At 41.1% G+C, this 24,134-nt stretch overlaps 1 protein-coding gene across 13 annotated transcripts in view, besides 1 other annotated feature; it reads right to left on the bottom strand.

Annotated features, from left to right (window-relative positions):
- Positions 1-24,134, bottom strand: part of CREB5 (cAMP responsive element binding protein 5) — a 526,574-nt gene that overhangs the window by 10,582 nt on the left and 491,858 nt on the right. For all 13 annotated transcript variants that reach the window (NM_182899.5, XM_017012807.2, XM_017012808.2 and 10 more), the window contains 2 exons: positions 10,791-11,114; positions 5,899-6,126 (listed from right to left, as the gene is read on the bottom strand). In NM_182899.5, the coding sequence (NP_878902.2) occupies positions 5,899-6,126; positions 10,791-11,114 (552 nt within the window). The remainder of the gene's footprint in view (positions 1-5,898; positions 6,127-10,790; positions 11,115-24,134) is intronic.
- Positions 21,387-22,096: an enhancer, noted in NCBI's record as "H3K4me1 hESC enhancer chr7:28832834-28833543 (GRCh37/hg19 assembly coordinates)". NCBI's record gives its function as "activates a minimal SCP1, AML or CMV promoter by ChIP-STARR-seq in naive H9 embryonic stem cells {active_cell/tissue: H9 hESC(naive)}" and the evidence as "EXISTENCE:reporter gene assay evidence [ECO:0000049][PMID:30033119]".

Raw genomic sequence — 24,134 nt, 5'->3', positions numbered from 1 at the left:
TGAATATGAACATATTCTTTTTTTCTTTTTTATTGTTATAGAGACAGGGTCTTGCTATGTCGTCCAGGCTGGACTACAGTGGCACCATCATAGTTCACTGCAGCCTCTACCTCCTGGGCTCAAGCAATCCTCCCACCTCAGCCTTCTGAGTAGCAGGGACTAGAGACATGTGCCACAATGCCCACCTAATTTTAAAAAATGTTTTGCAAAGATGGGGTGTAGCTATTTTGCCCAGGCTGCTCTTGAACTCCTGGCCTCAAGTGATTCTCCAGCCTCAGCCTCCCCAAGTGCTGGGATTACAGGCATGAGCCACTGTGCCTGGCAGGACATATTTCTTAATGTAACATGTTAATACTTATTTAGCCATGTTATTGTGGGAAAATGAACACCAATTAATGTCCTCAGTAGAGAAGGGCAATCAGCTTCTTGTTTATCCATATACATATAACTATGATGCTGCAAGGACTAAATAAAGGCCTAATAACCACATAAGCCATAGAAATTCATGGGGCAGCATCCAGTAGGAAAAGGAACTCTCACTTGAGAGTTGAGAATAATAGGGTTTGAGTTCCCAAGCTGCCATGCCAACCAAGTATAAAACACGATGGTTGAACTACTTCCAGAAAGTTCCTTCCAGAAAGAATTTTTTTTTATTCTACAAGCAATTCTGTGTCACCTTCTATTGAGAAAGCAAATTACCCAATTATCCAATGAAAGAGTCCATCTTGACTTTTATTCATTACTTAGCTACTTTCAATATGCTCAAATATGCTTATAATTCAGGTCTTATCTTTCATAAGGGAGCCAGTTCTAGCACCTCTTATGCTTCTAAATCTTAGTAGGGCAGATTCCAAAGCAACATTTATAGTTTCATTTTAGAGCAAAATTTTCTATGTCCATTTATGTGTCCATATTACTGAGAGAGCATCTACGGAGCCTTCATTATATTTCATAAGGGGCCTTTGGCTTAAGAAAGGTCAAGAATCACTATCCTAGAGAAAGAAGAATGAATTGTGTGCTGTGCACATGCATAATCATCTTAAGGATTCCATAGTGAAAGACTGATTAGTGTAGGAAATGCACAAATACTAGACTATATTTTAAGTAAAAACGCTTTTCAAGGGAACGTAAGTGGAATCACCTTGAATTCATTTTGGAAGAGAACAACCAGATAGCAAATGTTTCAAAATGCATACAAGAAATCAAATGTGGCCTGGAAGTCTAGTAGGGAAATAAAAACCAGGCCTTCTGGAGGCATTTTCTTACTCTGAATTACCTTGCTTTATAAATTGAGGAAAATCACCATTTTGTATTCCCCTATGAAGGTTATAATCAGAGTTTTAGGTCTTAATATAAAAGTATTTTGTAAATACAAGGTATTAATAATATGTATTGATTGTCTGGTGGAAATCAACTCTTCATTTTTTCATTTTTCTAAACGAATTTGAGTTTGCTCCTCTAAAGCAGTTAGCTGTTTAGCGACTGTAAGATCCAGTTGGACTGATCTATTTTTAAACCCATAGTTTGCCTTGGGATGAAGCAGCACGCCACAGAGATATTCAATACTACAAAAACATACTTTCAGCAAGCACTCCAACAAGTCCCTAATAGCTACATTTGCAGTGTTCAGCTTTGGGGATGTCATTATTTATATGATAAATCCACAATGCTTTTTGGTGTAAGCAGTAGTTTGTGCCAAAAAAATAATTATCAAAATGGGCTCTACAATATACCCTCCCCCAGCTTTTTTGTTTTGGTAGATTAGCTGAGACCAGGTTTGGTTCACTCTGAAACAAAGAACTTTCAATTTGTCAAGCAACAGTTCCCATCTGGCCTATTCGCTTGCCAAGTCCCAGACCTGGGCTCATGTGTCCAAAATTTCAGCAGCAACTTAGACCATGTGTCTTTGCACTAAAAAAGAAAAGCAATTATTTCCATGGGTGACCAGATGATTTCCATATCCTCTACTGAACACAGACGTTCTACTGAGTACCACATCAGCAGTCGATGAATTTAGAGCTGATCTTAGTCCCTTGGTATCAGAAAAAAGAACATGGATTTCTTTGGCTTACGGAGTTTCTAAAATAGAAGATCACAAAGAAGTGGGTTAGGTCAACAGGAGACTTCCCTGAGTCCTCATTCTGCCACCTACTTGTTGTGTGACATTAGGGAAGACCCCCCATTTCCCTAACCTCAGTTTCTTTCTCCACAAAATGTCAGATTAGGTGGTTTCTAATATTTTCCCCAATTCCTATACCTTTTTTGACCTCTTGGGCAGAGATGTGTTGTGAGACTAGGAAATGAAGTCTGGGAGTTTGATTTTGTTTTCTTAGGTCTGGTTTTTCCAATCTGAAATGCTGCAGCCTAACTAGAGGGTTCTACGCTGGAAAACAACTCAAAAGTGGCAGCTGGCCATCCAGACCTTGGATATTCCATTTGGCTGGAGTTTGTTTGCTTAGCACCTTCCATTTCTGTTTACTTAAAATTTGGCTCACTGGTCCAGCCTCAAGAGAGACACCTTTTTCTTTTGACAAAGGTCCAGTGAGAGGGAAAGGGTCATTCAAAGGTAGCGGAATCTGCAGCATCCTCTCCAGCATCCCGGGGCCTGATGCAGGACACTCAGCTTCACAGAGAACACTGGGTGGTTGTGGCTTCTGTCCCTCCAAGGCAAAGCAGTGGTTGGAAAATATCAACAATTTAGTCTGTTCAGAGACTGTCCCTTTTTTGGGTACTGTTTTAACTACCAAAAGATATTGGTGCCTGTTACATGAACTCAGTAGGATCTTTTTTTCTGGTTTTGGGAGCTAGAGTTCTAGTTTCTTTTTTTCCTTAGCCATTTGGCTCTAAAGAAATGTGAAAAAAAATCAGTGCATTAGGGTCTAGCGAAGGGTAAATTTACCTTGTATGTTCTGTAAAAGCAATCATAAATACGCATATGCCAAGTCACGAACACCTCTGGCCTCAAAGTCTGTGGACATCTTTACTTTCCTGGCTCTCTGCTATGATCCTTCCATGTTTGCATGCATTAGGATCACAGTCAATACCCTGAAGGAATTCTGCAAAGACTCATTTTAGTTAAAACTGATTTAAAGCCTTGGCAGCTGATATGTGCCAGCTGGCTATTTTTGGCTCCTTCATCTAAGCAGTGGTTTACAACTAAGGCTGACTTTGCCACCCAACCTCCCTTCCCAACCACCACCAGGGGACATTTGGCAATGTCTGGAGACTCTTTGGTTGTCATAGTTGGAAGATGTGCTCCTGACATATAGTGGGTAAAGGCCAAGGATGCTGCTAAATAGCCTGCAATGCACAGGGCACAACAAAGAATGATCAAGCCCGGAAGTCAATAGGGCCAAGATTGAGAAAACCTACATGTTTGCATCATCCTTCTGCAGACCTCAGAGATGGTGGCAAATTCCTGGGATTCCCCCCACTTCAGTTATTGCAGAACCACTGCGGTAATATTTACTAGGTTCACATATACAAGAACTTTTATTTACTTAACATGTTTGTGCAAATTAACTCAATTTTGAATGATTTAGCCTTCTTACTAATATCTTTGAAACTGCAGATTTGATCTTCTAATTATATTTTTCAATACACATCAAAATTAAAATATGATTATTAATGTTAAAAATGCTTGGCTGGGCATAGTGGCTCACACCTATAATCCCAACACTTTTGTAGGCCGAGGTGGGAGGGTTGCTTGAGCCTGGGAGTTTGAGACCAGCCTGGGCAAGATAATAAGACCTTGTCTCTAGAGAAAAAAAATTAGCCAGGCATGGCGGTGTGCACCTTGGGAGGCTGAGGTGGGAGGAACACTTGAGTCCAGGAGGTCAAGGTTGCAGTAAGCTGCCCTCCAGCCTGGGCAATGGAGTGAGGTCTGTCTTTTTTGAGACAAGTCTCAAAAAAGAAAAATGCTTAACCACATTCTACCTAAAAGTTTTTCAGATACTACTGTGCCTGTCAGATTCTACAAGTGGCTTTAAAGGTGGTTGAGTCCAGCCATTTCTCTGGTGGCTTGACTCCCTGCAATCACATCCTTGCCAAGTGGTCAAGCAGCCAATTCTTAGACACTCCAGCTATGAGGAATTCATTCATTTATTTAACAAATGGTTACTGAGTGTAGACACTATACTATAAACAGGGGAACCCATTCATTTATTCAACAAATAAGTTACTGAGTGTAGACACTACACTATAAACAGCAGATAGATAGATAGTGGGCGGAGGGAGTAGTAAGAGACAGTCCCAATCTTCCCGCGGCATACAAGTTAGTGGGGGAATCATTATCTTATTTTCCTCACATCTGCTATATGTTTCCCAGTTTCTTTCTCATCATGTCTATCACAAAAAGAATGACACATTTAGGGGGAAAAATGAACATCCATAAATTATGAAATTCAGGCCCTCATACAACACATGCTTTCCTTATATACTTTCAATTTGTACACTGGAAACCCCAAGCCATCTCCATTTAATGAAACTGGATATGCAAAGGCTTTGGGGTTTGGCACCCTAACTGTTCCTTTCTAAGGATGCACAGAGAACTAGGTGTGGGAAGAAGATAAAAGTGACCTACCAATGCCTAGTCATTAACTCTTTTTATTTATTTTTTTGAGACAGTCTCACCCTGTTGCCCAGGCTGGAGTACCGTGGTGCGATCTTGGCTCACTACAGCCTCTCCCTCCTGCATTCAAGCCATTCTCCTGCTTCAGCCTCCTGAGTAGCTGGGACTACAGGAATGCACCACCACACCTGGCAATTTTTTTTTGTGTTTTTAGTAGAGACGGGGTTTCTGCACCTTGGCCAGGCTGGTCTCAAACTCCTGACCTCAAGTGATCCAGCCACCTCCCAAAGTGATCAGCCTCCCAGAGTGCTGGGATTACAGGTGTAGGCCACTGCGCCCGGACCCCATGAACTCTTAAAATGCAGTCTCACTATGTAGGGTAATTTCCTCCCTGCCCCACTCTCTTTGGCCATTCTCTCAGCTTCTGGAAGCACTGGAGTATAATCCACAACTCTTAATGCTATCCCTGGACTGTGGGTTGCATACATGTCTATTTACTTGCCTTTTTTTTTTTCTGCTGATAAATAGTGCACATATTTTTAACATTAGAACAAATGCTCTGAACTGCATCATTATAATCTATAAAGTCTATTGGAGAAGCCTGGGTACTAGAGTTCCTTCCTTTCCTCTTAGACACTCCCAGACACTTCTGGGCCTCATTATAAAATCTCCCCAGTTAAGACATTCATAAAAAGCAAAAATTAAGCAAGATTCAAATCTTGGTGAGTTGGCAAATGAGATGAAAACATGCCTTTTCTTTCAGAGCTACATAATGACCATCAACCTTTCTTTCTTCCATGAAACAAAAATAGAGATAATCAAGTATAAGCCAAGGCAACCCCCTCAACCTAGTGAATATAATTAATGAAAAGCTCCTTTTCAGCTGAAGGTTTGTTATGGGCCAGGCACTGGGCAACTGCTTTGGAGACATTAGTTTGTTTATTGCTCCTAACGTAACAACTCTATAAAGTTATTATTCCCATTCTGTAGAGGAAGAAACTGAGAGCCAGAGAGTTAAGCCTAGCAAGTAATTGCTGAACCATGGTTTGGATCTCTGTCGGATTAAAGCCTGTTCTCCCACCCCTACAACTTAGTGGGGTAGGTCCCCCCTTCTCAGAGCTTTGTGGGCAAATTGATTGAAAACTGAATGGTTAATTTTGTTTTGCAGGGTGTCCTGGAATTAATAAAACTCGAGGAGTGGGGCTGCGGCTCCTCTGTGGACTAAGTGTGTGGTATCACTGCTTAGGTCAACAAGTGCCTGTCAGGGCCGGAAATGCCCGTGGAGCAGAGGGCCTTTGAGTCGCGGGGAAAGACACCGTGGGCTGCACCTGAAGCTGCATGTTTGTCTGGGTGAGTTCTTCTGCTTTCTTTTCCAATGACATCACCCAGACCTTCCTCTTCTGTCTGCAGCGGGTGGCAGCTGCCCGGTTCCGTTCCAGAAATTTCCGCCGCCTCTCGTCCGGATCCTCGTCTACCACCCTTCGCCGGCGCCCCCCTGTGGGCTGGGGTGGCTGTATTGTCTGGGTTGGCTGCATCTGTTGTGTTGCTGGTGAAACCTGCTGGGCCAGAGAGGGAGGAGGTGATGGGGATAGGGAAGGACGTGGTTAGGTAAGGGAAGAAACCCAAGCTGATGTTAAAAAGCAAAGCACAGAAAGTCTATCGTTTCAGTCAGCATATGAGACTTGCCTCCTATGAATGAAACAGACGATGAAATCACACTCATGAAAGAAAAGGAAAAGCATCACTGACCTATATTCTATGATGTGTTGGCAAGATATAGGAATGACTCGTGAAAAGATGTAGTCAGATGGATTTTTCCCTGACAGGCATTTGGCCGAATCATGGTAGAGGAAACATTTATTTTTCTCCTTCAACTATTAAAAATGTTTTACTGACGGTGTGTTTAAAAACTTTAAAGTAAGGGCCAGGTGTGGCGGGAGGATCACTTGAGGCCAGGAGTTTGAGACCAGCCTAGGTAACATAGCAAGACCCTGTCTCTACAAAAAAAAAAAAAAAAAAAAAAAAAAAAAGGAAAAATTGGCCAGGCATGGTGGCGCATGCCTGTAGTCCTAGCTACTCAGGAGGCTGAGGTGGGAGGCTTGCTTGAGCCCAGGAGGTTGAGGTTGCCATGAGCTATGATCGTGCCACTGCACTCCAGCCTGGGCAACAGAGCAAGACCTTGTCTCTAAAACAAAAACAAAAACAAATGAACAACTTTAAAATAGCCAATGTATGGCTACAGGGTGAAAACAGAAAGGTCAGGGTTATTATCACAATATGGATGACTCATCTGTCATCTACAGAAAACCTCTGAGCAGGTTGTGGGCTCCTTTCATTCTAATAGTGGTAAAATTGTGTTCCTAACATACCTCTGGGACATCGTTGCCACTGTGACTCCTATGAAAAGAAGCCCATGAAGCCAGGAAAGCAGATGAAATCCTATTTTGACTATTACACAGTTCTTAATGCAGAGGACTAGCTGGACCTGCATACTCCAGCCGGGCCTGCCTGCCCCTCAGAGCGCTCACCAGGGTGAAAGGAGATCCAGGAGAGCTTTCTAGGTGATTGGGAAGCTGGGCCTTTGAAAGCATTAAATTGATGCCTGAAGCAGCACTGAGCCCTGTCACACTGTGTGTGTGTGAGATAGTGAGAGTTGCTTGTGCATTACCATACAGTTACATTAGAAGGAAATCCTGAGTGGCAAAGCACTTTATTAAAAAGTTTTACTATGCTTATAGAGTCCTTGCAAGGTCTGTGTGGGACTCAGCAACATCTAAGGCTTGGAGACCCCCACACATAGAGCTTTATTTCTATTCATAAGGCAGACACACAGCACCTTGTGAAATTTCTACACCTGACTCTTTTCTTTATATGTCTGGACACCTAATGCTTTCCCTCATGCACTTCACTCCTTCCTCCTTCTTCATTCTCAATAAAAGGTGTTTTTTTTTTTCCTCTCCCATTTCTTAGTCACTCAGGTTTATGACGGTAATACCTATAAAGTTGTTTTACAAGAGACATTTAACCTGCAGAAATAACAGGCCAAAAGTTTTAAAAATGAAGCTCAACAATCTTTTCTACCACATTGCAGCACTATGATTGAAATCAATCAGAATGACTGTAATTGCACTAATAATGGCTACTGGTTGACATCAGTTGACTGATGGTGATGTATTTTAATCCAAAACTCTATCAAACCATCTATGACTAACTGTAAAAGAATCAGGCCCAGGGTTGAGGTTGAACTGCATCTTAGTAATTTTATGCAAAGCAAAGACATTTTCTTTTTTTCTTGAGACGGAGTCTCTCTCTGTCGCCCAGCCTGGAGTGCAGTGGCGCGATTTCGGTTCACTGCAACCTTTGCTGCCCAGGTTCAAGCGATTCTCCTGCCTCAGCCTCCCAAGTAGCTGGGATTACAGGTGCCTGCCACCATGCCTGGCTAATTTTTGTAGTTTTTTAGTAGACACAGGGTTTCACCATCTTGGCCAGGCAGGTCTTGAACTCCTGACCTCGTGATCCACCCGCCTCAGCCTCCCAAAGTGCTGAGATTACAGGCGTGAGCCACCGCACCAGGCCAGCAAAGACATTTTCTAGAACTGTTTGTTTGTTGGTGACTCTTTTCCTCCCGATTATAGAGGAATAACAAAATAAATTAACTGTCTAAGGTCTTACTCATCAGAGTTGCTAGTGAAGGCGTCATCCTTGTTATTGGCAGGGGCTTAGCACTTGTCATTCCAGATGCTAATTCCTGAGCTAACTACTGCAAAGAAAAGCATTAAGAGGGAATGTGCTAACTGCTCGGATATTTTTGCCTTTAACTGTTTCCTTTTGTGAATTATAATCTCTTATTGCCAGCCCCAGACAAAACCCTCAAATAGGAAAAAATTGATTTTTAATCTCCATTGCAGGGACTTATCTTTCAATTCTGTATCCTCCTACCCTAAGTTTAATCAACCTGTAACCCATGATACTTTTCCTGTGCCTTCACCCAAAGGCATAAGTGACGTGGTTTCAGGTGTAATTAGGTTCAGGATTGATTAAGAGAAATTCCTTGAAACCAGCACTCTACAATCACATCCTTACATGCAGGAGGAGCACAAGAAGCCAGGAGAAAATGCAAATACAACCCTAAAACCAGAATTTGTATACCTGGTAATTATTGTCGCTTGTAATTTTATTTTTAAAGCAGAATTCTCTTGGCATAGATGCTCTGAAAATTTTGATCAAAAGTAATAAATTATAATTTCAAAAAGGCAGATTTTATTCCAAATCACCTTAGAATCTCAGAGTTCAAAGGATTCTATTCCTACTTTCAGATAATCATACAATTAAGCAAAATGGCAAGATCTCAGTAATCAGCCAAGTTAATACAATTTAAGAGTGGTATTTTGGGATACTGCCTAAATGATCTGGTTCAAATTTTAGCAAGACCAACCTGGGCTCTTTCTTTTTAGCATACAATTAAAAAAAGCAACTGTTCATAAAGCTAATTATAATAGCAATTAACTAATTGCATATACTATTGGCCACTTACTGACTTGAAACAGAGGGCAATTGGCTAATTGGTAATTAGCTAGTGAATGGCTTTTATATTCAAAGAATTGTTATATAACTTGCTCTGTGAAATAACTTGCCCATAAAGGCAACCAAACCTTGATGTTCTCGTTTCCTTATAAACTAAGTACAAATGTGAATCAATTTGCCCATCATTGACTTTGTAGTTTTTTTTTTTCTTTCTAAATACATGTTCTAGTATGGCGTTTGACTAAAAATGTGACTAAAAATGTTCTCTGGATAGCATTTGATTGCTATACAATTTGCTAAACTTCTACTGGTTTGGAATAACATATTTTGAACACTGTGTCAAGGGCTTTACAGAGATTCTCTTATTTAATACTCATAAGAGCCTAGGAGTTTAGTCTACTATTACCCAGCCCCATTTTACAGATGGGAAAACTGAGGGGTAGAGAGGTTGTTTCTGTTCACAATCACACAGTGAGGAAGGCAGGAAAAAAATTAAGGTTATCTCATTCTAATGCTCAATTCTTATTCACAATGTAGAACACCTCTAAGAACCTTGCAAAAGACAGTTTATCTAATGAATAGCTTCGAGAGTTGCTTGTGCCTGACCCATTCTGTGGATGGCTGTCCAGGTTTGGTGCATGTTAATGGAGGGGGGCTCAAGAGTTCAAAAAGCTGCCGGGTATAAAGTCACGTCTCCAGAGGCAGATGACAGAGGAGACAGTGAATAAGTGTTTTTTGGCGGTTCCATGCTTCCGACACCCTTCTGATTCAGCTGGTTGGAAGCTGGCAGTGTGGACTGGGTGGAAGGTATGGATGAAAGTCATTCTGCTTGAGGATCCAAAGTGTCTAGGCCCAGCCATGCTCCTGGACATGCCCTTCATCCACTTACTAAAACTCACTCCAGTACAGGACTCGCCTCTCTTCTTGGCCGTGGGTGACATAATGTCTGCCTGGTCCCCCAACCCTCTTTCAGTTTTGTCTAAATGCTGGCTTTCTTTGCAGCCACTCCTGGTGACTCTCACCCACTGGGATTTGGCCTTTCTCTTGGTCTGATCATCTACAGAACTTGGCTCTCTTTCTGTTCCCTCCAACGCATTTCTCATTCAGGGGGATGAGTCACCTCTCTTCACCATTTACACAGCACCTTACGCCCTAGCATCCATGATGGAGCTTCTTTGTCTGCCTTGAATTGTTACTCTTTAGATTTTTAACATTCACTGTTACTCAGAAGATTGCCTGTTGTATTTAACTTCCATTTTACAGGTGACAAAATTGAGTCTCTATGATGTTTTAAAACATAGCAGCTAGAACCAGGGTTAGAATTAACTCGTTTTTCTCATTCTTAATTCACATCTTTCTTCACAAGCTTAAGTTCTTCCTAATCCATTGATTCATATTACTTTTGAGAGGGGCTAACTTTCTGACACACTGCAAAAATAGATTTTGGAGAACTTAAAGTTTATGCTTGCCCTTAGAGACTAGACCTGATATTTTTTAGTGTATTATTTATAGAAATTATGATCTGGTAGGGTCTTATGGGTAAGGCTTGCCTCCTAGGAGATAAACAGAGCCCCTAGAATGTGAGATAGAACACCTGGGCTTGTCAAACAAGATTGCTGCAAATGACCCCAGCATTAGAGCTTGCACTGTTAAGAAGGAGAATAAGAAGGGGAAAGAGATCACGGAAAAGGTCTACCTGTGCTTGGTTGCCGGTGTGCAGGGGCGGATGTGGCGAGGTCTGGTGATGTGCTGGGTGTGCATGAAGGTGGGAATGGGAGTGGTGATGTGGATGGTTCTGCTGGTGATGGGGTTGAGGGTGAGGATGGTGTGCTGGGTGCTGGTGCTGGTGTGGGTAAGGGTGATGGGGTGGCAGTGTCTGGTGCTGATGCGGGTGCGAGTGCATGTGATGGTGTGGCGTCTGGTCCTGCCGGGAGCCCATCATCTCCATCATGTGTCCCATGGTGTTCATGTTCCCATTTGACATGGCAGCAGGGTGGTGAGTCAATGCAGCCTTCAACCTCTGAAACAGAACAAAAGGGAGGAGAGAGAACAACTGAAGTCAGTCATGTACATGATAGAGATTTAAAAGCAAAATGACTCACATTTTCAATTCTATATTTTACGATGCTATTGTTAATGTTTCCTACCAGTAGCTATCTTGCTACCAGTACAAGATAGCTTTTATATTAATTTCATATTTTCTTATATATCGTGGTCAGTAGGAGGGTCAATGTCAGCCAAATAGGTTAATTCAACTGTCAAAGCCAATGGGCAGGATATCCTATCAAGAATCATACATTCTACTAAAAGGTATTTCCTATTATCCAATCATGCATTATATCGTATCTACAACTGAATGCAAGCATACACCAAAGAGCACCATTCAATATGGTGATAGCACTGAACAAAGAGACTCCATCTGGTGTGCTACTGTATTTAATTTTTTTTTTTTTTTTTTTTTTTGAGATGGAGTCTTGCTCTGTCACTCAGGCTGGAGTGCAGTGGTGCGATCTCGGCTCACTGCAACCTCCGCCTCCCAGCTTCAAGCAATTCTCTGCCTCAGCCTTCTGAGTAGCTGGGATTACAGGCATCTGCCACCATGCCCAGCTAATTTTTGTATTTTTAGTAGAGATGGGGTTTCATCATCTTGGCCAGGCTGGTCTTGAACTCCTGACCTCGTGATCCATCTGCCTCGGCCTCCTAAAGTGCTGGGATTACAGGCGTGAGCCACCGTGCCCGGCCAGCCACTGTATCTTGTAAGAGTCACAAGAACAAATGCTCTTGCCTCTCAAAATATTTCTCAGACACAGAGAATAAATAATTTCAAATTTTAAAAAGTAGAGAGCTAATCTGATTTTAGGGCTTAAAATTAGAGTTAGTAATTTACAAGCTTCGGAGGTAATGTGTAGGTCTTTTCTGTTACCATGATTTTTCTTATGGTCCCTTCCAATACTCTTAATTTTTCTCACTCAATAGCTTTCTTTTGACTTTGAGAAGGGAGTGAGGAAAATAGAAGAATATGAAGTATTGCACCTCCTTTGATGGCCACATCAACTGGCCAGATGTATTTCTAACACAAAAGCATTATCCATTCATAAGCAGACATGCACACAAATAACTTGTACCTGAGTCTAAAGGAGGGGTCAGCAAACTTTTTCTATAAAGAGTCAGATAGTCAGTATTTTCTTCTCTTATCTTCTGTGTCACAACTACTCAACTCTGATACTGTGGTGCAAAAGCAGCTGCAGACAATGTATAAATGAATGAATCTGCTATGTTCTGATACAACTTCAGGGACAGGAAATCTGAATTTCATATAATTTTTACATGTCAGAAATGTTATTCTACTTTTGATTTTTTTCCCCAGTCACTTAAAACTTGAAAACCATTCTTAGCTCATACACTGGACAAAATTAGGCAGCGGGCCAGATTTGGCCCTTGGGCCATCATTTGCTAACCCCGTTCTAAAGATTCAGTTGATAATCAGCTTAGTCCCAGTTTCTTCAAAATTGTTTCTTCTGTGACACAGTCAATTATCATCATATCCCGAGGGGCATAATGTGCTAAGGACTGTATAATGCAGTTACTCGTTGGAAATATATCTTATGCAGAGATGATTGTCTAATTGGCAAGCTCCCATTGCCTTCATGAAGTATTTACCAGGGGACTGCAAGTTCTTTCCAGATTTGTGTTCTTATCTGATTCATGATAGTGGTGTATAATTGCTGGGCAAGGAAACAGTTGTATTTAAATGACGATCAAAGCTACTATGCTCTAACACTGTACAATATTAATGATTCTCAACCAGTTACATACACTATTGAAAAATACCAATTCAATTAATCAAAATCCTTAATTAAACATAAAGAGCCTCTACCTGCTAAGAAAAAAAATAAATAAAAAACAAGAGGAAAGGATGGTAGACTGTATGTTAATATGCGGTCATCATTTAAAATATTTTTGTCATCCCGATTCGGTAGCCACATAGTCTACTTCTCACCTCTTTCATGAGCAACAGATACTGCACAACAGCTACTGACCTTCATAATCCTGAAGAAGTTCAGCATCCTAAATGTCTGGGAAAGATTAGATGCTGGGTACTGTGTTTCCTCCTTTTTTTTTTTTTTTTTTTTTTTTTTTCAGATGGAGTCTCGCTGTGTCGCCAGGCTGGAGTGCAGTGGCAAGATCTCACTGCAACCTCTGCCTCCCGGGTTCAAGCGATTCTCCTGCCTCAGCCTCCTGAGTAGCTGGGACTACAGGCGTGTGCCACCATGCCCAGCTAATTTTTGTATTTTTAGTAGAGACAGGGTTTCACCATGTTGGCTGTGATGGTCTCCATCTTTTGACCTCGTGATCCACCTGCCTCGGCCTCCCAAAGAGCTGGGATTACAGGCGTGAGCCACCACACCCGGCCATGTTTACTTCTAAACAGAAAAGTGAACTAACACTTCTCATCTCCAATTTTAAGCAATGATTTCATTGTTTTTATAAAAATGCTTATTATAAAAATTTAAGCAATGCTTTGCAATGAAGTCAGCAACAATGAAGCCAAATGCGTTGTTTATATCTGGTGGGTGAACAGCATTCCAGACAACTCTATATATGTATATGGAGAGATGAAAGAATAACTAGAATAATTTTGTAACTGTGGAATTAAAATAGCATGTAATTTTAAAAACTTTTATTTGACTATGGCACAGCAAAGAAATGAAAATCTGGGGAATTGCTGGGTTTTAGATACATGTTTCTTTACCCCCAGGAGAAGTTTTTGGATGATACTTCCGAATTTAAGGATGAAAAAATATGAAAAGAGGTTATGTTGAAATCATCATGCCTTTTTAAAAAAATGACATGATGGAAAGTATGGACTTTCTAAACTATTCCTTGTAATTTCATTACTATAAAAGTATACTTTTTATAATAAAAAATCAATTACTACAAAAATATTAGATAATAAAGTAAAAGCCACTTGCCTAGCCTTCTCCCCTAAACCCCAGTCCTGTTCCTCAGATGTAACCACCACATATCCTCAGACATTTGCTTTGCACAAAATCAAGCTGTTTTAATACATAGTTTTGTATCTTGCTTTTTGTCCCTTTAGCAATATATCTTTGACAGCCTTCTATATCTGCAAAAATAGGTAATAATAATGGCTAACATTAACTAAGTACATGCTATGTGCCAGTCCTTGTTCTATATGTTTTACAAGTATCAAGCTACCTAATCCTCAGAACAACCGTGTAAGGCTAAAGGAGAGGCAAAGCCACTCTAACTCCAAAGCCTGTTCTCTAAACCAAGAGAGAAGGTGCCACAAGCCATGCCATTCACACTTTGCCAAAGAGAGAAATGAACTGTGTTTTGCCACCTCCCCATCATCAAAAGGAAAAGCAGAAAGCGCGAGAAGGGGCTAGAAGAGCTGACAAGAGGAGACGTTATTGCCGAATGGTCCAGCAATGGCCACGTGCAAGTGTTACTCAGCACACAGCTAGGGACCTGGATGCACTCTTTCTGAAATTTAGTGGAAGGGAGAGTGGATGGTAAAGAATTTCCAGGAACCTCATCTGCAGCAAAGAAAGGATTGTCCAGGGCTCAGCATCTTCATCTCCCTTGTTGTATTTGTGAAGAACTGACACTTACATTTCCCCTACTCCAAAACACAGACATGATAAGGGCCATGTATCCCTTCTCCCTGCCTCTACTTCCTCACCCTTGGCTTTAACCCTTGTAAGTCTGTCTAATGCTCAGGGGATGAAGGTCCAAGCCCTTAATATGGCCTAGCTGTGGTCCCTGCAGGGCGTAGGCCTGCCTTCCCGTCAGCCCTTTCTCTTCCCACCCAGCCACACTGGCCAACTTTCAGTTTCTGGAGGGCGCGTCATGCACCCTCCAGACATGGGGCCTTCGCGTTTCACAATCTTCTTGCCTAGGACGCTCTTTCCCTTTCTTCAGATGTACTTCAGACATCCCCTTTCTTCAGTCCAGCCTTCTCCTTAGTAAACTTCTCCCTGGTCTCCTAGTGTAAATCAGTTCCTGTTGTTATATGGTCCTAGTAGAACCATATTTCTTTTAAAAAATAGTTTAGTTTGTAGCGATATAATTTGAGTATGATTATTTAATTAATATTCATCAACCATCTCAGATTGTAAGCTTAGAGCAGAAACCATGTTAGAGTTTGCTCAGTGTTAAATACACAGCTTTAGCACAGAGCCTGATACATATGATACACTGAATTCATATTTGTGGAATGAATGAAGGAATGAATGAATTAAACTTTCTGAGGCTTATGATAAATGCAGCATTTTAATCTTGGATCACTGTAGCTGGTATTTATGTGGGAGGATGATTTTATTAGTCAACCAAGGTTAGCAGAATCAACTACAGAAGTCATGTAGGCAGATGGGCTGTAAAAGTACAGTCAAAACAGTTTACTGCTCCACACCCTGCCTGCCCTCTAGAAAACAGTAACAGAGAAAAGAAAACAGAAGTAAGTAAGAGGAATGCCTGTTAATTTTATCTTGATGTATTTTCCTTGAAAACGTGGCAAGGAAAATAAAAAAATCTATGTAGGAGTGGGTCATTGTGCCATCCCTTCAAAGCTACAAACAACTTTTCCACCTTTAATTAGGAGCAAATGGAACCTGACAAATAAATACGATGCACCAGATCTTCATCTCTCAAATAATTAGCTTATACTGTTAAGGGAAATTACTTGATTGCCTCAAGTCTATTCTTGCACTGTTAAGGCCAAGACAATAATGCTAGCAATGCTTTTAACATTCTACTTAACTATTTATTTACTCAACAAATGTTTATTGGGCTTCAACTATGTGCCAGGTACCATAATAGGCACATTGTTATTTGCCCACTATTTGAAGGAAGTGGAAGATGCATAAAACCAAGCTTTTTAAAACACCAGAGAGAAGAAATACACACTTAGATGTGGAGATGAAGACTTTTGATCACCCCTCAGAAAATGATAGGCCTCTGGGTTGAGTCTACCCTCTGAGCAGCAGCCTGTGTCATATTTGAAGGAATGCAGTGAAGATAAGTGATTATCAAGCTGCTCTGCATGTGCCACAGTGAATATTCTCCATGTCATTTCGAAACAGTGTGGGACACTCTTCGAAGTCCTAAGGAACCTACTGCGTCCCTGGATCCTGGTGCCAACAAGAGTCACAGTTGCACTGTAAATCATTCAAATCTCCCAAATATAGAAATTTCTACTCCACTCTCTTAGGGATGATAAATGACCAGTAAATGGGTCTAAGCTGTATTTTGCAGAATGATTTTTCTTTTTGAAGCTGGACTGTGTCTTGTTTTAAATAACATTCCACCTAATGCCAAGAAAAGGCAAGGGAGAGAGAGGAAAATTAATGAGCAAATAAACATATATTTTTCAGCTATAAAACCCAGGGCTATTACTGACATGACTGCAAGAAAGAAAGAAAAATGATTCTTGTCGACTTTCTGTCATCTTCTACCATGTTCATTTATATCAGAGAAAATTAGGGGAGGCGGCGAGAAGCCTGACGCACAGGTAGTTTCAGTCAAAAGGAGTCATTTTCATTTGGTCCATGTATTTTCTCAGCTCCTGTCCACTATCCGCGACGGGAGGGTGGGCCTGCTGCCGGGTTCTTGGTAAGGAACCAACTATTCGCCTCCTCCCATCCGAGTGTGGCCGCTGCTGTCATGGCCCAGCCCTGGTCCCTCTTTAATTTCCCGTTTAGCTCAAGTTTGCATCATTGGCATGTCGAGTGAAGCCTGGGTACACCCACACGTCATTACTGCCACGAGCGTGCATGCTTGTGTGCCTGCGTGAGTGTGCACACACGCAGCACACCCACCCACACCCACCCTGGGCAATTTATCTCCCATTAGCAAGTGGTTCATGCCAATTAGAAACATTTGTGGAACTGTGAAAACATCGCTTCTCCATCTTCAACAAGGCTGACTGCTTATGCTTTATAGACTCTGAAAGCCGAGCCGAATTATTAAATGTTAATTGAAATTCAATTGAGTGAGAGTGAGGAAGGTTGGAGTATTCTTTCCAGAAAGGTTTTAATTATAAATGGCTGTTGGTTTTTGCTCCAGAAAAAAAATGTGAAAGTATCAAAATGTAGTGTTTCTGGGTTGACCACAGAAGTAAGAGGCTCTCTACATACAAATATGACAAAATCTGAATTCATATTTCCTTCCAAATACAAAATAATTGGCCTCTGTGGCCTCTCCAAAGCATTACTGTAATTTCTCCTTTTTTTTTTCACTTTCCAAACACAGTTGATCCACAAAAGCAGTCAACACAGGCTTCTGAAGGGTCCAGTCAGTGGTTTGAGACCAAAAGCCTTCACTGCATGAAGCCTTCACTTCATTGCTTTTAATAGCAATGATTACCAACTTCCTCTAGGTATCAAAGATTTCTGAAATTCTTTCTGAATTACTAAAAAAGCCCAAATTGATACTTATCCACTGAATTTAACAACTGTAAATGGCCAGCTTAGATCCCCAAATGCTTTCAAACTTGGAGATGTGGCGATAGACAGAAAAACAACAGTTCCGTGCTGTGCATGGGATTAACTAAGATCATACTTGGCTTAATCACTTGGAATAAAATCTATTCCTTTTAAAACTTTCATAAGGTAACTCAGCTTTGATGGTTCCGCAATTTAAGTATTCTGATTTAGATTTTGGTTTGCTAATAAAACTTCAAATAAGTCCGCCAGGTTGGAAGGAAACATTACCCAGGAGGAAAAGGATTCCATAAGACCTAGAAAAATAAATATTCCTATGATTTGTCACATTACATCATTCAAACTTACTAACTGAAGATATTAGAAAGGATATAATTAGTAAATAACACAAAGGAGTTGTATTAGAAATCAATACTCTAGTCCATTGGGAAATGATGCCAGGAGTATCACAGGATGAAGTACCATCCTAGCTCATGAGTAAGGATGGTATTTCAGAAAAGTAGACCTTCAGCGGATCTAATGTAAGCAAGAAAAAGAATTTGGTGCTTGATCAGACTAAGTGCTAGGTGATACATTGCACTTTGATGTCTAAAAAGCCAAACCCCAGAGACAAATTTTAGCAATTTCCCTGCCAGCCTTTTCCATATTAATATCTAAATCATATATTAATTACAGTTCTGTAAGAGTGAGCCTTTAATTTATTCTTGCTGAATGAAGAAATTAATGAATGCACATTTATAGAATTATTTTATTGCAGATACCACTTCCCTGCGTCTCTTGGACTCAGTGGCTGTCTTTTATAATTCAGCAGGAGGGTGAGCATTTTAAGAGACTGTGCATTTCAGCAGCTTTCAGAACAAACTTCTATCCTGAGAGCCAGAGCTAGTCTTAGCTCCATCATAAGGCAGCTCTAGGTCCTTAGAGAAGTAAACCACTTAGCGCCATGTGCCTTCATCTACCTAACAAAGGAGGGCATGATTCTTCACTCCCTATTTCATCAGAGAAAGGATCCAAGTTGAGGTTTACTAAGTAAAGAAATCTATTGGAGAAATGAGTTGGGTGAATGTCTAAAACAAAGAAAGAAAAGTTATCATTGCAGAGAACTTCAGAAAAACAACAGAAGACTTAGAGTGAGAAGTCTTGGTTTTAAAGCCTGGCTCCAGGACCTTGGTTGATCACCTTAAGCTTCAAATTCGTCTTCTGTGAAATGGGGGTACATAATGAGATGAGAATCTGTGTAAACCATAAAGATATACAGCAGAGTCGATGGAACTGAGTAGAGTTGTTTTGTGGATGAGGGAGGAGTGGGTGGGTAGGGGTGAAGTTAATATCAGCTTTTGATGAAAAATAAAGCACAATGGAATATTATTTGTCCGTACAAAGGAATGAAACACGGACATATTCTACAACATAGATGAATCCCAAAAGCATTATGCTAAATGAAACAAGCCAGACACAAAAGGTCATGTTTTGTATGATTACATTTACATAAAATATCTAGAAATACTTAAATCATAGAGACAAAAAACCCAGATTACTTATTGCTGGAGGCTGAGGGGAGGATTAAGTCACTGCTTAATGGTTCCAGGGTTTCCTTTTGAGATAATGAAAATATTATGGAACTAGACAAAGATGATAGTTGCACAACACGTCGAATGTACTAAATGGCACTAAAATGCACACCTTAAAATGGTTAATTTGGGCTGAGTGCAGTGCCTCACACCTGTAATCCCAGCACTTTGGGAGGTAAAGGCAGGCAGATCACTTGAGGTCAGGAGGTTGAGACTAGCGGGTCAACATAGTGAAACCCCATCTCTACTAAAAATATAAAAATTAGCGGAATGTGGTGGCAAGCGCCCATAATCCCAGCTACTTGGGAGGCTGAGGCAGGAGAATTGCTTGAATTCCGGGCGGTGGAGGTTGCAGTGAGCCGAGATCATGCCACTGCACTCCAGCCTGGGCAACAGAGCAAGATACTGTCTCAAAAAAAAAAAAAAAGAAAGAAAAACAGTTAATTTTATTTTATGTGGATTCTACCTCAATTTAAACAATATTTTAAAAAAGAAAGCAAAAGAAGAATGTCTTTTCTTCTGACAGCGGGCTGATAGAGAACTCTTGACTTCATCTGAGACTTACTAATATTCATTATGATGCCACCTTATGCGAAACACTGTATTATGAAACAACGAAGACCAAAAAGATATTTGCCCTACAATGACCAAAGTCAATGCCAGGGTTTTAGTATTTTTCTCAGAGAATTTGGCTCCTCTGCCAGATACTGGTACCCTCCTTTTCTTACAATTCTATTATCTACCAGCTGGCTTAGAACCAAAGAGAAAATGCAGAAGTCACAGCCATCAACTGTGTATAATACAAAGCTAGTCGAGAGTGTTTAACGCACCAGATGAAGAATCAGTATCCGTAAAGATCTTGTCTAATGAGAAATTGAGCAGGAATCAGAATAACATCTTATGCTTGGTTTAACAAAAACAAAACAAAAAGCATCTACTATCCAAAGCAGCTTAGAGGAGATATAGCTTGGGGCTAACATATATGTAACAGAAGGGTGTGGGGATTTTGACTTCGCAAAGCATCATTATGCAATGCACACATCAAAACAGCTGATGTGATTTTTCAGCTGTATCAATAAAACTAAATTAGAGAACTCAAGAGAGTGAGAGTCCTGTTCTCCGCAGGGCCATGATGTGAGCCATACAAGTCCAGGTCCCTCACCTGCCTGCCCCCACCAAAGATCTAAACATCATATCTAATAGTGTTGGATTTTTCTCTAGGGGAGTATCCCAATTCTGAATTGATGGGCAGGCATGCTATTTCTATTTTTCCTCTGTAACACTGGGACGAACATCCCTATATATACATCTTGGCACGTTTGATGATTTCTAAAAAGTGTTCATTAGTTTTTTAACAAAATCTGATGAATTGATCCATTTAGTTGGGTTCAACTTCTGGGCAGAGACAGTGGTGGTGGTGACAGAGTGTGTGTGTGTGTGTGTGCAGGTATGCACATGTAGGGAATGAAGGCTGGGTGTCTCTTAAAGGAGTTCGAAAGGGAAGAAATGCCCTGACAAGTTCAGTTTTAAAAAGCCTTTTTGGGGGTCTGATTTTCTTATTCCATCAATGTCCCCATACTCAGGTGAGATATTAGAGATCCGCTGTTCCTTTCCGGCTGCCGAGCTCCTTAAGCATTATGTCATGACCTCAGGTACTAATTTGGCCCTAGAAAATATTATATGCTAGTTTCCCTGGGAATTTTAAAGTCACTAAATGCACAATGGAAGTAGAATAAATATTTGTTGATTGCCAGCCTGCCTGCTGCCTGAAAGTCTCCAGTAGTAGTGCCTAACTATGTAATGTCTTTGAAGCAGTGGCCTATAATTTTCTTTATAGAAAGAACGCTTTCTGTTGGTGATTGCAGGGAGAATAATGCCCTTTGTCTTGCTAACAAACACTACTCACCTCTAAAGTCTCAGCACCTGCAAACCTGGGTAACTTTAGGTAAGGGCTTATTTCCAGCTTTTATCGAAGAAGAAAGTTCTATTGGAAAAAAGTAATCCCTTGTTATTTTATTTTGGATGAACTTTTAATCAGAAACACAGGCAGTAACATATGTTAGAAAAATACATATGAAACATAGAACTTTGCATTTATAACCCACCATGGAAAATCCATGCTAATGCAGCATTAACTTTGGGATTTTAATTGCACAGAAGTCAGGAAATTCAGAGTTCAAGTTCCCACAGCAAACTTTACTCCACATATGTATCACAGGGCCTTTCCTGAGTGAGTGACCTAATTATTTGGCAAAAAGGGGTGCAATGAATAGTGATTTCTCTTCAATGCTACACATCCCCAAATCCCAAGCAAGCTGGACAGAGAGCAACTCTAGCTACACAAATGGCACCTTTTCAACGCACAGTAGTCCTTGGGTATGTGCTTGGTGACCATCATGACAACAGTCCTTTTGCAGTGTGTGCTGCAGGAGGTGCAGGATTTGGCAGTGTGCTGCTTGGGCGGGACAGCCAGTCGCTGCCACATCACCCAGCTCTCTAGCAGATCCTCCCCCAAGCCCTTGGGAGGGCGGCTGTGCTCGGCTCGCTTGATGGACACTGTCCTTTGCTCCATTCCCAGAGGGCATCTCAATAACTGATGCTTAAACTTTGGAATCTGGAAGTTTGACTAAAAAGCCCTCAGGGGACTGGAGATGGAACCTTCTCCCAACACATGTCTACCCCTCGAGACAGCTGTCATCTGGCTTCCCTCCAGTTGTTGGGAAATAGCAAGATGTGTACCATTGGGCCTCTGTCGTAGACATTCGGTGTTCTGGCCAACAGGGCCTCAAACTTTTTCTAGTAAGAAGTCTCCTGGTTTTTCTAATGATAGGGTAAGTTGACTGTATGGAAGTTTAGATTGTCTTGTCCCTTGGTATCCATATCTGAGGCTGTCTAATGTGCTCTGTGGGTGTCCAGTCCTGCTTTTTCTCCTTGGGAAAATAGTGATGGTGTATTTGGGTCCTCCTTGCCATCTGTTGCCTCTGAATCTCACCCCTGCCTGAGACCTCAAAGTGTGGGGGCTCCCAGTACTCACCACCGATATGAGAGGAGTGGTCAGAGGGAGGAGGAGTTGGTGGGGATTAGGGGAAGTGAGAGAGAGAGAGGGATTGCAATACTCTCTGATTCTTAAGCACCTGCCTTACTTCCTTTGGCTTGCTATTAGTGGTCCAAAGTCATCGGACCAATAGCCAAATCAACTTGCTGTGACAGTTCTACCATCCTGCTAAAGAGGAGGTCTGCCTGTGAATGGTCTGGGTCATATGGCACTCAACCCAGCAGTCACCTGACCACCCAAACAGCACATTTGTAAATAGCCCCTGGGCTCTGAGCACACTGAGAATCCATGATGCCATTTGTCCACTGCCTGGTCTCCCTGAGCCAGACCTGTAGAAGTCTCTGAGGGCCACAGGATGAAGGCCAGTCATCACTGATAACAGCATGATCTTCAGTATTTCAGGTAAGCCACACCAAGGAGAAGAAAGCTGTGCTCAAGGAAGCCAGAATAAAAAATACGGAATCTTTTCTTCTTTCCCCTGCATGTCTACATTCGAGGCATTTAAAGAAGAGTCATTCATAATCTATTAAGAATCTGGCCGTGTGTGTGTCTAGAAAGTTACGCTTAAGAAGAGCTTTTGAATTATGCCCAAGAAGATGACAGTGCACAGCATTTCCAACCAAAAAATGAGGAGCAACTTTCTTCTGAGCTGATACGCATCCAAATCATACTGGTTCTCAACTACATTGTTAAAATTTCAGTAATAATCAGGTATTAGAAAATATTGAGCATTTCTATACTTTCTTCTAGTTTCAGAGTTTTCTCTAGTTTTGCTTTTTTTTTTTCCATGTGATATGACACTTATTATTTGGCAATTTTTTTTTGAGACAGAGTCTTGCTCTATCATCCAGGCTGGAATGCGGTGGTGTGATCTTGCCTCACTGCAACCTCCACCTCCCAGTTTCAAGCAAGTCTCATGCCTCAGCCTCCCAAGTAGCTGGGATTACAGGCGATTGTAACCATGCCAACTAATTTTTGTATTTTTAGTAAAGATGAAATTTCATCATGTTGACCAGGCTGGTCTCGAACCCCTGGCCTCAAGTGATCAGCCTGCCTTAGCCTTCCAAGGTGCTGGGATTACAGGCATGAGCCACCACACCCATCCTATTTGGCACATTTTTGACGGTAGAATCACTGGCCCTTGCTAAGCTATCTTTTTACGTCTCCATTTCTATTGTCTTTATGGTGTACAATTCAATGAACCAGAGATCTAAATCTACTTTTTTACTGCCTACAACACAAGTAATGGGGGTGGTGGGAGGAAAGTGTGGAACCATCTCCTTAAATCACATTGTCACAACTGAGTACCATTCTAAAAATGCCAAATAGAAAGCTTTCTGGTTGATTTATTAATTGAAAATGGCATCTCTAAAAATTTATCTTCTTACAAGCTTAAGATATCATTTTCATGATCTGTCTTCTTTTCCAGCTCAAGCAATTTCTTTTCTGACTCCAAATTTCTTTTAAGCAACTGCTCACCAGGGACTGACAATAATATATAGTAGCTTGCCCTAAATCAGTACCTTGCAGATATTAAGCTATGAAATAGGCGACAAAAATTATTCCCTACCTTTTGGAGATATAGAAAATTCCTGTGAAGAAATGTTAAGTGATCTCTTAGGAGTCAGTAAAGGGAAGGAATTTGAACCTCCTGCTTTTCTTTGTGGGTGTGACCTACTTAGCTGGAGAGCCTCTTGGTTAAAAGAAAGATGGTAGATGATAAAGAGCAAGATGGGGAAGGCAAGAAGGAAGGTGAGAAACAAGGACAGAGAGAAAGAAGGAAGATGCGCGAGAGTAGCAAGAAAGAAAGCAAGTCAGCTCTAGCTGAAGGTAGAAAACGTACATGATCCAAGGGCACTGGTATTTATAAATGTATAATGATAAGGCAGAATCATTCCAAAAGAGAAGTGAATACAAGATTGAGTCAAAGTATTCCAAACTCAAAAGAA

The sequence above is a fragment of the Homo sapiens genome, chromosome 7 (genome assembly GCF_000001405.40).
Source record: "Homo sapiens chromosome 7, GRCh38.p14 Primary Assembly".
Lineage (NCBI taxonomy): Eukaryota > Metazoa > Chordata > Mammalia > Primates > Hominidae > Homo > Homo sapiens.
Note: the sequence above shows the minus strand (reverse complement) of the source record. Positions and strands in the feature narration are given on the sequence as shown.